General features: G+C 40.8%; 1 long non-coding RNA gene across 14 annotated transcripts in view; it reads left to right on the top strand.

Moving 5' to 3' along the window:
* The window catches only part of LOC107986777 (uncharacterized), a 303,857-nt gene that overhangs the window by 125,520 nt on the left and 161,556 nt on the right, over positions 1 to 16,781 (top strand). For 12 of the 14 annotated variants that reach the window (XR_001745132.2, XR_007060256.1, XR_007060257.1 and 9 more), the window contains exon 2: positions 134 to 262. The exons of the other annotated variants lie outside the window; for them this stretch is intronic. This is a non-coding gene — a long non-coding RNA (uncharacterized LOC107986777). The remainder of the gene's footprint in view (positions 1 to 133; positions 263 to 16,781) is intronic. 14 annotated transcript variants of the gene reach the window in all.

Below are 16,781 nucleotides of genomic sequence, written 5' to 3'. Positions count from 1 at the left end.
AAGGATAATTTCTCTGGATTTAGAATTCTAAGTTGGCAGTTATCTTTTTTCAATGATTCAAAGATTTCACCCCACTTGACTTTTGCATGGTTTCTGACAAGAATTCTGCTATAATTCTTACCCTTGTTTCCAGTGGCAACAAAAACTTTGGCCCCAGCAGTTTCTCACTCTCCAGCTACTCCACTGGCAACTTCCAACAATTTGTCAAAGTGACCACTTGCATGCTCTTGCCAGTCTATGGCTCCAGTTGCTTCTGTTCCAGGTAAGCAGACCTCTGCTATATTCTCTGTCTCTCCAGATTTTGGGGTGATCATTTGTCCTGTACAAGTACAAGTCATTGATTTTCAGTTTGTCCAGCTTTTTCTTGTTGTTAGGATAAAAGTGGTGACTTCCAAGTTCTTATGTGTTGGAACTGAAACCAGAAGTCTACATACTTGTTTCTAAAACCGGGTTTCTTAAAAACTCTCTGAACCTCAGTTTCAACATTTGTGACTGGATGTAACAATATCTACCTTCTATGGTGATTGTGGGGAATAAAGGAGAAAATGTGAAGTGCCTAGCACATAATACCCAGCAATGATTGGATAATGGTACCCATCCCCTCCTCTCCCCTGCAATGAAATCACTAGAAGTGTGCAGGCCAAAGTAGAAAGAACCCCGGGTAAGAACAAGGTGAAGATTTAGTATCAGAAGGGGGAAAAAGTTCTTTACAATCTTTCCTGCCTCTGATTTTCCATAGTCTTCTCACTCCCATTTTCTAAATGTGGTCACTCTTAAGAGAAAGTTAATTAACAGAATATGCAAATTAAAGAGCAGTTATAACACTAATTAACATTTTCATAATAATAGCTAGTCCAGTTCTGTACATGTGTAAATCAAGACATCAGTGTCTCTGCTGCCTACAGAACTTCACACTGGAAAATTGCAATTACTTTGCTATCAAAGCAGAACTGAGAAGCGTGGAAATGGTGGCTTCTAAAAGCCTCTTCGTTTAACACAGTGTCCGAATAGGTCGATACCATGCTCTGATAGATGAGCAATGACTTTGAGCTTCATTGTGGCCCATCCTTTGGTTGGCAAGCAGTGGATGGAATGATGACACAATAGCATCCCCTGCAGGACTGAGGTAACAACCCCAGAACTTGAGCGGCGACTTCTTTACCTCTTCCCCCTCCCTCTTTCAGTCCCAGGAAACTAAAGCTGTACCTTTTCAAAATGTGGGCAAGCTGGATTTTGCTGTGCTTTGCTGGAAGATAGTCACAACTTGTTGAACAACTCCCCTGAGGACAAAGCAATTGGGCGGCTCCGAACGCTCAGGGAAAGAAGTTGTGTTGGTAAAGAAATTGCTGGCCAGGTGCGGTGGCTCACGCCTGTAATCCCAGCACTTTGGGAGGCCGAGGCGGGCAGATCACGAGGTCAGGAGATTGGGACCATCCTAGCCAACACGGTGAAATCCTGTGTTTACTAAAAATACAAAAATTAGCTGGGTGTGGTGGTGCGCGCCCATAGTCCCAGCTACTCTGGAGGCCGAGGCAGGAGAATTGCTTGAACCGGGAAGGTGGAGGTTACAGTGAGCCGAGATGGCACCACTGCACTCCAGCTTGGTGACAGAGTGAGACTCCATCAAAAAAAAAAAAAAAAAAAGAAATTGCTGTGCCAGCCATAGGAGTTTTTGTGCAGCAACATAAGCCATCTTCCCATACATGCTTTGTGCAGCATTAGCTGAAGACACACACCTGAATTTATGGGGCTCAGGATGGCTCTCTGTCCCTTTATTATAGATTACATGCTGGAAAATCAGGATAGAGCTAGATACTCTTAAAAAAAAAAACAAAACAAAATTTTGCCACTATGACCATGTCTTTGTAGGCTGTGATAGACTTGCTTTCTAAACGCTTCCTCCATCTATGCTTTCCAACATTCACTGAAGTTTTCACTCTCCTATGTTTATGTAAATGGGACAAAACTCTTGATTTTTCAGTTAATATAAGAAATTACACAAATGCATTGACTTCAAGTTCTTTTCCAGTTCTTTTCTGGTTTGATAGAGTGATATTTTCATTAATTACACTAGTTAAGAATTGTGAACCCCCAAAATATGAGACAGGTCTCAGTTAATTGAAAAAGTTTATTTTGCCAAGGTTGAGGACACCCGTGACGCAGCCTCAGGAAGTCCTGATAACATGTGCCCAAGGTGGTTGGGGCACAGCTTGGTTTTATACATTTTAGGGAGACATGAGACATCAATCAATATATATAAGAAGTGCATCGGTTCAGTCTGGAAAGGCAGGACAACTTGAAGGAAAGTCAGGAAGACTGGAAGCGGGGAGGGGGCTTCCAGGTTATAGACAGGTGAGAGAGGAACAGTTGCATTCTTTTGAGTTTCTGATTAGCCTTTCCAAAGGAGGCAATCAGATATGCATCTATCTCAGTGAGCAGAGGGGTGACTTCGAATTGAATGGGAGGCAGGTTTGCCCTAAGCAGTTCCCAGCTTGACTTTTCCCTTTAGCTTAGTGATTTGGGGGCCCCAAGATTTATTTTCCTTTCACAGAATACTGAGCTATCCATCACATTATTACCAGAACAATAAACTATCAAGTAAGATCAATACTCAGAATTACCTTTTTTTAAAGATTATTGGTTCTTGTGAGAAATAACTTCCAACTCAGATGGTTCAAGGAATTACTTATAAAGGTATGAGTAACGTTAAGGGAAGCTGGGGTACCCAGAGACCAATAGCAGTGGGAAACCATCTCTATCTGTAGGGCTGGAGGGGCAAGGGGAGCCCAAGGAGAAGTGGATCCCTGAAGAAGTTTCCCCTGTCACCTCTAGCCCTTTCCTGGGCAGGGGGGCTGGTGCCATAAGTAGAAACGTAGCCCAAAATAGAGAGAGAGTGGGAATGAATACCCTGCCCCGTAATTCCCGAGTGAGGAAGGAAGATGCTCATTCTCAGGCTCATGCTGCCCAGGGTGGAACCTGAGAGTGAAGACCTCCTTAGATTTTGCATGAGTATTTTGCTTGCTTCCCCCAAGTCTCATGAGGCCCTCCCGTTGGTCAAAGCCACCCAGGCCCATGCACACAGGGCAGGGCGGGGTCGGAGTGGGGTGCTGGGTGATGCGTTCTGTGCAGTACAAGGCTTAGAAAAGAAGAGAATGGATCTTGGGAGCAGGGAAGAATAATGGAAAATAACAAGCACTGTTATTTTGCAGGCCATGGCAACAATTTCTAGTTTTAGGGCTTTTACAAGATTGCTTTGTTCATATTAGTTTTCAAGGACAGATTTTTGATAAAGGAAGAAAATAAGTTGGTAACAGTCATTCACACACAAAAGCAAGACTGATACTTGTCTGACTGCTCTCAATTTAGTGTTTTATCAAATTAGATTACTGGAACTAGTTTTATGGGAAAAAGATTTGTCTCCCTCTGTAGAAGGGGAGAAGACGGCATCTCTTTCATGTCTTTCTGAGGTTCCTTTTGTTAATTATGAAGGCATGCATTTTTAAGGTCAGGCTCTGAAATTCCATTAGTTAGTAGTATAAACAAAACAAGCTAGCTGGTAGGGCTCTGTTTTATTGACGGAAATGGGCAAAATGAAATTTTACTAATAATAGTGAAATAAGGAGCACATAACCTTATTCTTCCATACACACTTGATACACACCTTTTCTTTTCTTCCTTCCTTCCTTCCTTCTTTCTTTCCTTCCTTTTTTTTTTTTTTTTTTTTCAGAAAAACAACACTTTTAACATTTCATAGGCATCACTCTGTGTGTAATGACGAGGAAAGGGCAACCCAGCACGTTCAGGAGCAGAAGCCTAGTGGTCAGCTAAGTGTCCTCTCCACTCGGCCACTCAGCCCTCAGACCCTCCTTGCTGTCTGAGGAGCCCATTCACAAAGACAGACTGCCATGGCCCCTGGGAGTCCTACCAGGCTGATTGGATGTCAAGTGATAAATCAGAGAATACCAAGCACCTACTGTGCAACTATTCTATACATTTCACTGGACATAATTTTGAAATACAGAGATAACTCAAAAGGAAATGCATTCAGAGTAAAGCTTTTTTGTATAAAATCAGCCTTGGCTCAGACATTGCTGCCGAGAATTTTAGTCTCTTCAGTTATGGTGGCAAGAGCTAAGAAAAAAAAAATGTGGAAGATATTGAGCAGTTATCTATATCAGGCACTGTTAGGTCTATTTTAAGTATTAGCTCACTTAAGGTTATCACAGCCCTATGAAGCAGTCCCAACTTTTAGTCCTTGTTTTTGTTTTTTTGAGAGGGAATCTTGCTCTGTTGCCCAGACTGGAGTGCAGTGGTGCAACCTCCACTTCCCAAGTTCAAGTGATTCTCCTGCTTCAGCCTTCCAAGTAGGTGAGATTACAGGCACCTGCCACCACGCCTAGCTAATTTTTGTATTTTTAATAGAGATGGGGTTTCACCATGTTGGCCAGGCTGGTCTCGAACCCCTGAACTTAAGTGATCTGTCTGCCTTGGCCTCCCAAACCACCGCACCTGGCCTAATCCTTTTTTTTTTTTTAAGATGTAGAAAAGAGGATCCCAGAGCTCCTGAGGGTAAAGCTGGAATAGGAGTCCAGCCTCTCTGCCTCCAGTGCCCCTGGTCTTAACCAAGCCACAAGCATCTTGGAGCAGATGAGGCTGCTCATCTGCCATCCAAAACCCATTTTGTTTGGGTTTTGTTTTGTTTTTGTTTTTGTTTGTTAGTTTGAGACAGGGTCTCACTTCGTCACCCAAGCTGGAGTGCAGTGATGCCATCATAGTTCACTGTAGCCTGGAATTCATGGGCTCAAGTGATCGTCTTGCTTCAGCCTCCTGAGCAGCTGGGACTACAGGCACATGACACAGCACCTGGCTAGTTTTTTGTTTTTTTTTTAAGAGACAGAGTCTCACTATTGACCAGGCTGGTCTCAAACTCCTGGCCTTGAACAATCATCCCACCTTGGCCTCCCAAAGTGCTGGGATTACAGCCATGAGCTGCTGCATCCAGCCTCTTTTTTAAATTTAAAAAAGTATTTAGGAAAATATATTTTTATATGTAAATTTAAAGACCATTATTAAGGGATGTTGGGACAATAAAAAGCTTCTGTGCAAACTGTAAAGTTTCCCTCATTTTACTTCTAGTGGGAGTCAAACATACAAGCTTTCCCATTTTGTTTGTGAAGTATCTGTTAAAAAGAGAGAGAGACTGGAGGGAATGACTATTGATGGAGGAACTCCTTTCAGGTGCTAGGGATTCAATTCAGGAACGAGCAGGATAGACATGGTTCACCCACATGCAGCGTCTCTGAAAGTAGGAAGATGTTTCCAAAATACTAATGAAAATAAAAGCAGGTCACACAATGGTATGTACAGTATAAGCATGTTGGGATTTTAAAAAAGAAAAAACTGTTTGGGTGTTTGTAAATGGAAGCTTATTTATCAAGATGTTCTCTCTAGGTGGTAAAATGGAAAGGATTTTAGCTTTATTCAAGTTGCTTATACATAATATCTAAATTCCCTAGAATAAATTGATGATCATGAACTCTCAAGACAAGAACTGGGCCTCATTCTTCTTTGTAATTGCAGCACCCAGACAGGTGCCAGGTACAAATGGGCACTCACTCAGAAGTGGTTGTTGACCCAGAGAATGGTCTGCAATATTCAATGACCACAGGCTCAAATGGCACATTGCTTAGTTCCGTGTGATTGCAGCCAAGTTTTAGACAATATCAACTACGTTTATTTTACTGACTGATTCGAGTGTGCTGGGTGGGTTAATTGTCACACCCAAGTAGAAACATAAGAGCAAATTCCTATCAGTACATGAGGCCCCTGACTGGGTTGAATCTTGATATGACTCAGGTTGGTAGCTAGAGTTTGGGGGTCTTTGCCCTTCACACTGCAGTGACTGTTAAATTCTGCTGAGATGTGCTAGGTGTCCTGAAGAAATGGAGATGGTGTTGGACTAATAGAAATGTTAACAGATTTTTATTGCTTTATTGAGTTCCTCAAATTATGCTTTTAGGTATAAAACATTATTTAGAAATTGTTAAAATGCATAATTTTGGTCCATTGCTTTTATATTATCCATACCCATAATTTGTATTACGGATTTGTTTTGTTCATGTGCAGGCTCTTTAGACCTTGGGAACAGGAAAGAACAAAGTGTTATGTATGCATTTGCTGGCATGTGAAGGGCTGTGAAATGTAGTGCTGGCTTCGACAGATAAGCCAGTCAATTTAAGTTATATTAAATGAACTCACTTTTAAATAGAGCTATAATTTCAGCCTGGTTGGAAATGGGCAGGGATGATAGGGTGAAATTTAAAGTCTATAACAATTTCTTTTTAGGACATGATTTTCCAGATTTGGGTTGGGAGGCAACACATGATGATCTATTATAGTCAGTGCTTATGGGGGTTAAAATAGAATCTCAGTCATTTACATCCATCCCAGACTTTCTCTTTCCCAAATCAGGTCTTACCTCATGTTCTTTTATATCTAATTCTTACAAGCTTTTATAAAGCTCTTTGTTTTTAAACTTTTTATTAACTTGGGATCTGCAAACAGAAAAAAAAAGTACAAATATTAATTGTACAGTTCAATTAATTAACTCAAAGCAAACACACCCATGTAACTACCACCCGGGTCAAAACATAGAACGTTACTGGTACTGCATGAGCTCCTCATACCTCCTCCCAATCAGTGGCCCCTTTATTTCTCCCCAAAAATAACCACTCTTCTGACTTCTACACCACAGAATAATTTTGCCTGATTTTGAATGCAAATTTATGCATCATGTGGTTATGTGTGGCTGTAGATCATTCATTTAATTGCTGAATAGTATGCTCCTATTGATGGGCGTTAGACTTATTTCCAGTTTGGGGACATTATGATCCTTCTGCTTTGAATAATTCTGTTCATGTTTTGATTTACATATGCACACTTTTCTGTTGGATATATATCTAGAAATAAAATTGCAGGATCATATTGTATGTTTGTATTCAACATAACAATGTGATACCAACCAGTTTTCCAAAGTGGTTAAGCTCTTTATACTTCATCAGTAGCATATAAACATTCTCATACTGCCATGGTCCTGCTAATGCTTGGTCTTGTCCATATTTTTAATTTTAGCTATTCTAGTGGGTTTGTTCTAGTACTTTGTTGTGAGTTTAATTTGCATTTTCTGGATAATTAAGGAGGTTGAACACATTTAATATGTGTATTGGCTACTTCTTGGAGTCTCTTGCCCATTTCTTCTGTTGGGTGATTGGCCTGGTCTGTTGTTTTGTAGGATTCTTTATGTTCTGCATATGTTATTCGTGTTGCATATAACTCCTCTTACTATGTGGCTTCCTTTTCGCTCTTCATATCCTTTTTGATAAACCAAAGTTCTTAATTTTAATGTAGTTCCATTTATCAATATTTTTATTTGTTGTTATTGTTCTTTATGTCCTGTTAAAGACATCTTTGATTGCTCCAAATCAAGAAAGTATTTTCCAACATTAGCTTCTAAAAGCTGTATCAGTTCTTCTTTTACATTTAGTTCTATGTGCTACTTGGAATTGATTTGAGAGTATGATGTGAGGTTGGATTTTGGAAGCTTTACCAGGCTTTAGAGCTCCTACAGTTAAACAGAGCTTTGCTTTCTATCATTTACAATTTGCATTTTAAACAGAACTTTGCTATCATTTAGAATTTTCATTGTATACCTGATAAATGAGATATTTTAGATGTATTTACAGAGATTTTTGAATCATATATGACTCTCATGTATTCATAAAAAGAAAAATATAAGCAATTAATTGGTTAGTGTGTGGGTATCCACTGCTTGACCCTGTAATTCCTCTTCCATGCTTTTCAGTCCTGCTATGTGCTCCAGGAGGCTGACCTGCATGGACTCTATGAAAAGGCTTCTTGCCTTTTGGATTCTGGTTGGTTCAACCAGTGGGGAGCAACAGAGGGAGATCAGAGGGTAGAAAGTCTTAGGGTGGGGTATTTATTCCCCCCAGCTTCCTCCCTTCCAGGTCTTTTCCCTCTACCAAAGGCTACAGCTACCCTTCTATACAGTTACCCTCTTGCGTGTCTAAGAAGCATTCCTTCTCCTTGTCCCATGGAGTGAAAGAGTAGTAACTGCTCCCTGCTCTTCTGGCCCAAAGGTACTCCACTCTCCTTTTCTGATTGTCCTAAACCCTTCACCCAGTGGCTGGATGGATCCAGCATGCTGCCGCCTTCCAATATGTCCACCGTATTTCCATCTTCAATAACGGCAAAACCTTATTTCAAGCAGCAAGCAGGGAAGCAACTGCCTACCATAAGAATATGGTGGGAAAGATACGGCAAGGCTCAGAATAATGATAACCAACTATAGCCCCACACTCATAATGTCCTTGAACATGTAGGACGACTTCTGATCCCAGAGTCACAGTGCAGATTCTGAGGAGTTGATAAGTGCCACTGAACAGAATGAGTACATTTTCCCCATCACTAACGGTACTCAAGCACTACACTTGAAAATTGCTCTAATCTCAGTCCAGAGACTGGCCCAGCAATATGAATTTTAACAAACCTCCAGGTGATCCTTACGCATACTCAGGTTTATAAAGCACAGATATACAATATTTTGAAAGTTGGGGGATCTACGGTGATCTCCATATTTGCCACTGGATTAAATTACTGGATATTAAAAATACATATTCATTTTTACACATCAGATGTTACAAAGATGTGTAAAGTTCATCATTTTCTCTTCTCCATTCCCACTCTTTGAAGGGAAGCAAATTTAATAGTGTGACAGGAATTCATTCACACCAATCTATGTTTATTCACACATATACAAATATATATACTCCTATATGTGTTTTTTCCTTTTCATTCCTTCCATTTTTGTTGTTGTTGTTATTTAAAAAATGAGATCACATCCTAATACACAAGATTGCTTTGCAACCTGTCTTTTTCACTTAATGTATCATGGATATCCCTTCAGGTCAGCACATGCAGTTCTAATTTCTTTTCTTTAGAAGTTGTAGGATATTCCAAAATACGAATGCTTCATGTCTTATCCAATCATTTTTCTATTGACTGACATTCAATATGTTTTCTGTTTTTCACAGAGGCTAAATTAGAGGGCTCCCACTGTGAAAATAATTTTTTTGGCCTTGAATGTGAATCATAGACTGAATTTAAAACTAAAACTAAAAAGGCTGATATTTGAGAGTATTTTTGTGCATAAAAAAGGGCCTCAAAAGATACATAACTCAGATTGCCTGAGCTGTTCAAGCTAGGCTTCTCTGTTTTCTTTTCTTTTTTTTTTTTTCGAGACAGAGTCTCACTCTGTCTCCCAGGCTGGAGTGAAGTGGCGCGATCTCGGGTCACTACAACTTTGCCTCCTGGGTTCCAGTAGTTCTCCTGCCTAAGTCTCCCAAGTAGCTGGGATTACAGGCACACACCACCATGCCCGGCTAATTTTTGTATTTTTAGTAGAGACAGGGTTTCACCATCTTGGCCAGGCTGGTCTGGAACTCCTGACCTCAAGTGATGTGCCCGCCTTGGCTTCCCAAAGTGCTGGGATTACAGGCATCAGCCACCACGCCCAGCCTGTCTCTGTTTTCAAGCATTCAGCAAACACTTGTCAACTGTCTTCTAGGTGCAGGCTTTGTGCCAGTTGCTGGGAATGAGATTGTGAACAAGACAAACATGATCTTGATCCTCATGGAACTTGCTTTCTGTTGGAGTGACATGTAGGCACAAAAGGCAGCTGTAAAGCAGGGCCAATGATGTCAACAGAGGTGCCAGGGAAGGTGCTGTAGAGAAGGGGCACCTAACCAGCTCTAGGAGTATCCCAAAAGGTTTCCTGGAAGAGATACCAAGTAAGCTATGACCTGTCAATTGAATGGAAGTTAGTCAGATGAAGGAGGAATGGTGTTCAAAATTGAGAGGCCAGCGTGGTGAACTTGGAGAATTTGTGAGTTGCATGAGGGAAGGATAGATAAAGCTGGAGGAATAAAGAGGATCCTAGTCATGAAGCCACTTGAAAATTTCAACTTTTTCTTTTATTCACCACATTCCATGGCAATATGATTCTCATAGGAAATGCAGACTTGGCTGAAGACAGATTACATGGTGCCAGGACCTGTGCACAGGTGTCATGTGTAAGCTAAATTGTTTGGGGAAAGACAAAGAAAATGTGGGAACCATGTGTCTGTGAAGGGGCTACATGAATGAGACAGAGGTTTTAGCAGCTGCCATCAGTAAAAGAAGATGATGAAAGAGGCTTTCTGGGAAGTCTTGTTTGTTTGTTTGTTTTGTAAAACCCTTAAGCCACCACTTTTTTTTTTTTTTTTTTTTTTTTTTTTTGAGACGGAGTCTCGCTCTGTCGCCCAGGCTGGAGTGCAGTGGCGGGATCTCGGCTCACTGCAAGCTCCGCCTCCCGGGTTCACGCCATTCTCCTGCCTCAGCCTCCCGAGTAGCTGGGACTACAGGCGCCCACCATCACGCCCGGCTAATTTTTTTGTATTTTTAGTAGAGACGGGGTTTCACCGTGTTAGCCAGGATGGTCTCGATCTCCTGACCTCGTGATCCGCCCGCCTCGGCCTCCCAAAGTGCTGGGATTACAGGCGTGAGCCACCGCGCCCGGCCTAAGCCACCACTTTATGGACAACTGCAGTAAAAGGGCTCTGGTGTTTCTCAAGACTTCTTAATGAGATCACTGTTTGTTTGAATGAGATGCTGCATTGAGCGTGAGCCAGGAGGGTGACAGTTATATTTGGGTTACACATCTGCTATATCATTAACCCTGGCCACAAATCTTTTCAGTAGCCTGAAGGCCAAGTGCCAGGGCAGGAAGCCAAGCAGTGACAAAGACTACACCTATAGTCTAAGGTGTGTTCTTCCCATTTCATCCTCACTACCTCCTGTCCATGAGATAACATACCTCATGTGGGTATCTGCCTCCTCCCACTCCCAGATGTCTATGACATGGCTGTATGCATGTCATACACTGTGAATGTTTCCACGACAACACGTAAGACAGCTACACCCTCTCCTTCTTCTCATCTCTGTCTCTAAAAAATTGGCCAGAGTCATCTAATTCCATGCTGCACTTCTCAGAATTCTGAGTGCCGCCTCTTAGAAGGTCTTTCTTTCCTATTTTTAGCTAATACGTGCTCACAATAATGCATTCAAACCATATAGAAGGATATACAGTAAGAAGATATACTATAGGAAGTCCAGTGCTCACCCCACCCCCACCCTGCTCTCAGAGGTAACCAATTTGATGTCTATCTTTCTAGATTTGTTTCTACACATATATACAATATACATCATATATAACAAAACTGAGATTTTACTCTACACTTCATAAGGTAATTGCTTTTCTTAAAACAGTGTATCAGGGATATCTTTCCATAGCAGTACATGTAGAACTTTTTCTTTTTAACTGCTAGACCTGGTACCCATGGACCATAATTTAATTAATTCTCTGTTAATGTACATGTGGTTTATTTTCAACTTTTTCTGTACACAGGTTTATGGAGATGTAGATATATCAATGTGTATGGATGCAATCTATTCTACAGGATAAGTTCCTTGTAATGAAATTAATGCCTCAAAGGAATACATTTTAAAGCCTTGCCTTACATTCTTGCCCAGACTACATAGTTCCAGTAAATTTCTTTTATTTGTGTCTTGTGAGGACTTCCTCATGCCGATGTTATAACAAATTTTCCAAAATTTTGTATGATAGTTTGCTTTTTTAATGCTGATAGTTTTTTATCCAGGGACCACCAAGTAGCCTATCTTTGTAAATAAAGTGTTTCTGGAACACAGCTATACCTATTGGTTTCCATATTGTTGATGACTGCTTTTGTGCTACAATAGCAGAGGTGAATACTTGCCAGAAATTATATTGCCCCCAAAGCTGAAAATATTTACCATCTGACCCCTTCTAGAAGATGTCCAACTAACGCTTAGAATTTATTTTATTGTTTATTTGTTTTTGTGAGGCAGGAACTTAACTTTATCTTCTCGGTTGACATAAAACCGTTCAATGAAAGGTTCCTCTTTTTCCTACTGATATAAAATGAGTCATCTAACAAATTCTGCTTCAGGCTCTATTCTGTATCAATGATTAATTGCTCTTTTTGTCAATCACTGCCATGCATGTCATTTCTTCAGTTTTATAGTTTTTTTTTTTCTCCAATAGTTTTATAGTTTAAGTGTTTATGTTTGGTATATTGTCCTTAAAGCCTTTTGTGTTTTTTCATTCTCTCTTTCAGATGAATTTTAGAATCTGCTTGTAAAGATCTCAGTGGGGTTTATAATCAGTATTTTATTTACTTTAGTTTGAGAGAGAATTGAAATCTTTACAATATTTTATGACAGTGACTGTTTCCTCATGGCCTCACCCACACTAAACATTATTTTTTTCACCTTTGCCAATGGGCAGATAATAAGGGTGTTTTAATCTAGTAATCTACAATGGATAAAGTAAGTATTTTTAGCTTATTGTTTATTTTTTCTCAGCTTTTTCTTACTATATGTTAAGATAAGGAAACGCTGCAATTAGTAAATATATAAAACAGGAATTTTACCACATTGCCAGCCTTGCAGTTTCCTATGCTGCAAAAAAGTTTTAAGGACTGGTCAATTGAAAGACATTGATCCCTAAAATAAGATCTTTAGCAAACATCCTCCCTATTGACTCAACATCGCTGCTCCAAAAGGCTCCATCATTATTTCTGTTGCCTAAATTAATTTTTAATCAGCTACATGTTGAGTGAACAAGTACAAATAATCCTCTCCTTATACAAGCAAGCCCCACGAAGGACGGCAGAGAGTGGCTTCATTCCCAGCTTCTCTCTATCTCATCTGGAATAACTAGCCCTGCTTCCCTGCTCTCTTGAGCTTCCACCAGCCTCAGCAGGGGGAGTGTCTCTGTTTGGATTCCAGATAAACAGCTTCTGGATGGAGATTCGAGGTCAGGAAGTTCCCTGGGGAGTGCTCTTGTGATTGGAGAGAGAAAAACTGAACTACTATACAGTCATAGAAAAGGTCCCCACAGTCTTGTCTCACATTCTGGAGAATTGTCCCAAATTAGGGCAAGGGGGCTTGGTCTTTATACCTCTGCACTGAGGAGACTTGGGTGGGGGCTGCCACTAGAGAGGGGATTTGACCTTGAGTGAACCAGCTGTCCTCAGCTGAGGGTAATTCCCAGAGGGAGACTCAGCCGAGAGTCAACATCCCCAGGACTTAGGGAAGTGAGTGCCTCACACCCGAGGGGGAAATCTGGGCAGCACACCACAGCATCCACTACAGGGAGCTCTTCACCTTTCCTCCTGCCACTCAGCTTACCTGTGAGCTGAAAACTCAACAACTTTTGGGTGCATTGATTAGCTTTGGTACTTAGCCTTTCGTGTAAATTTCTCATGTCACATGCAGGTAACATTTTGTTTCTCCTAAACACATCACCAGATTCATAAGCCAAATAGCAGGGAACAAAGGCTGCAGAATTATGTTTTTACCACAATCTCAAAATATGTTATTCAAGTAAATGGGGAAAATATATTCACTTTTTTTTAAAAAGAAAATTTTATATACTCATTGAACTAGCATGTTCTCTTGTCACTTTTTAAAATGTACAGCAAATGAAAAAGTTTACAGATTACAAGGACATTTTGCAATAAATCAAAAAATATATTGCAAAATGATTCCTGTGGTCTTCAGTAATAATAACAACATCAATAGTCTTAATGGCTATCATTTGTATGGTGCTTTAGTGCTTACAGAATACTTTCAGATCACCAACTTGCTTGAGTCTTATGAGAGGCAGAAATGATTATGATCTGAGGCTTACAGAGGCCAGGTAACCCATGCCTCAGTCCAGCACCAGCAATAGCCCATGGCCGCTGCAGGTCTGGTTTGTCTCTGGAGTCCTCCTACCTCCCCTTCCTCAATCTTCTCCCCAGCTCCACTCTGCCCTCGCTCATGCTCATTATCTGTTGTTCCACCCAAAACACCCACACTCCCCAGCCAAGATCCCTCCTTGGGAAGGACCCATGTCCTGCTTTATCTGTGTCTGTGCATTAAAATCTGCTCTCAGATGGCTGTCCCTGGGAAAGGGACTCATAAACTATTCACACCAAGCTAGTAATGTTCAACAATGATGTATAAACTGCCCTCTACCCCCACCCAGGTATATGTTATCTGCTTTTTAACAGGACCATATGGTGTTGAAGTATGGAGCAGGTTAATTAGAAAGATATTTTGGAGAGGGCCTTCCCACCTGCCCCCTCCTCACCTCATTCATGTTATTTTATTGCTCTACCTGTGAAGCATTAATCATGTAGAGCACTGGACGTGGAGTCAAAAGAATTGAATTTGAGTCCCTGCTCTTGGACAGGTACTTAACTTTGCTGTCCTCAGTCTCGTCACCTCTGAAATGTGAAGATTGGATTAATGTTTCACTTTGCAAGGTGATTGGAGTGACCAATGACACAAAAATCTCAGAATTACCTAAAACAGAAATTTTGTCAAAGCTCCAGGACTAGAGAACTTGTACTGGAGACGGTGCAAGAATGAGACCAAGATCTCACTGCCCCATGGGCCTCACACCACCAGCCACTGGGGTCCCAGGAGGCTCTCCTGAAACACGTGAGCTGCAAGGCTGAGCTGAGCTCTGCCATTAGCTGTTACTTGACACCCTGTCTTCCCTGTACCACCGCTGTTTTTACATGTTTTACTTTGGCTTGTCCTTGAGTATGTAACAGAGATGATGTCATTGAAATACCTCGTTAGGCATATCTCCTCTCAGCAATTTAGTTTCTAATGCCCCCTCCACCATTAATGCTGTTTTATGGCTCTAGGAAAGGGGAAGGTGATTACTGCCCAGAACAAAGAAGGTGGGAAGAAAGAGGCGATATGGTATAGAGGCAACAGGTGGAAAGGACAAGTAGAGGCCCTTTTACCAGACAGAAAACAACATATAGACATGATAAGACTATGGTTCAAATGCTGCTGCTCTTTGGGGTTAGCTCAGTGTGTATGGGGAATGGAGGAGAAGTAAGAATATAGAAAACCCAGAAAAAGGGAAGGGGTTTGTAGGATGCTTTTCTCCAACACTGGTGTCCAGAGTAGAAAAAAAAATGGCAACATGCAATATTTAGGTGGATAAAAGGATAAGACAATACCCTCTGCTTTCCTGTGTGTATGGCAGGGGAGGCAGCTCAGAGTGCTGGCTGGACCACGTGTGCTCAGTTGAAGGGCACAGTGTCCCTCTAGCAGAGGATTGAGAGTAAGTGTTCAACCTCTTAGATGGATGTGATTCACAGCCAGAGATTAGTGGATCAACAGCATAATGAGAGGCAATGTGAAGGCCCAGTTAGACAGGACACATGATGCTTGAACCACCCTGAGAGAAGGGATCACAGCCAAGAGCACTTCAATAATGAGTGAGGGCAGAGGCTACTGCTGCCCAGACACGAGTGGCAATAAATTGCTGCTTCTTTGGGGGTAAGAAGTCCCTGGAGGGCAACATTTAGGTCAAAAGTCCTTCCCCCAACACCAAGCTTCTCCTTGCACTTAGATTATATGTCGGAAAAAGGAAGGGAAACTTTTGAAGGAGAGAAACAATCCAGATATAGAGTTTGAAATTTAAATTGATTACATACCTAAAATGAGTCAGAGGAGATTGAGTTACATTTAATTGGTAAGTTTAACTCTTCTCACCATCAATGTGAAAGTTACTTTGCAAGAAAATTAAGTTCCACAAGGTTGGAATAAAAAAAGTTACCTTTTTCAATATATATAATAGATAGTGATCAAATCAGGGTAATTAGCATATCCATCATCTCAAACATTTATCATTCCTTTGTGTTAAGAACATTCAATATCCTCCTTCTATCAATTTGAAACTATATATTATTGTTAACTCTAGTCATCCTGCAGTACTATAGACCATGACAACTTATTCCCAAGGAAAGTTACTTTCAAAAAATTTTTTCGAGATATAGTATGAACCACAAATAAATGTCTGTGCTATAAATGAATAAACAGTCCACCTTTAACATTCTGGCAAATCCCAATCTTAGAAAATACCATGTTAACAATGTAGAAGACAATTTTTAGTTCTCTAGTATAAGTTGTTCCTCTAGAGCAACTGCATTGTAATCTTTCAGGATGTAATTACTATTCATCATTCTGTTATGAAAAACTACCAATAAAGGCTGCTAGGGACTGATACCAGGAACAAGGTTTGACAATTTCCAACAAGTTAATTATTTTTAAAGTTCCTCCTATCTCTTGATCCTTGTGGAACACTGACATCGATTTTGGCATTATGAAGAAGTGGCCTGGGATGTGGCTGTCTTTCTTACTTACTGCCTCCCCTCACACTTTAGTAGCTGAGATGTGGGAGAATGAATGCTACATCAATGGGGAAACATTCTACAGTTATGCATAGGTAAACAGTTATACCAAAGTCATTTCTCCTTGATAAGATCAGATGCAACAGGAATTTAAAGCAATGACCCCATTCAGATCTTTCAAAGATATTAATTGCCAACTTTGTTAGAGAGATCCCGCAATCTGGGACTCAGAGGCTATAGGTCATCAATGTGGTAGGTGCCGTGAGTGAGGGACAAGTCAGGGTTTGCATCTTTATTGGTCCTTTCTTTCCCTATTGAATCCATAGGACTCAGATTTCTAAAGGCCAGGTTGATGATGTAACTAAATTAGCTATTGAAATCCCTTTTTGTAAAACCATCCCTAATTAATGGTATGACAACATA

The sequence above is a fragment of the Homo sapiens genome, chromosome 7 (assembly GCF_000001405.40).
Source record: "Homo sapiens chromosome 7, GRCh38.p14 Primary Assembly".
Taxonomy (NCBI): Eukaryota; Metazoa; Chordata; class Mammalia; order Primates; family Hominidae; genus Homo; species Homo sapiens.
Note: the sequence above shows the minus strand (reverse complement) of the source record. Positions and strands in the feature narration are given on the sequence as shown.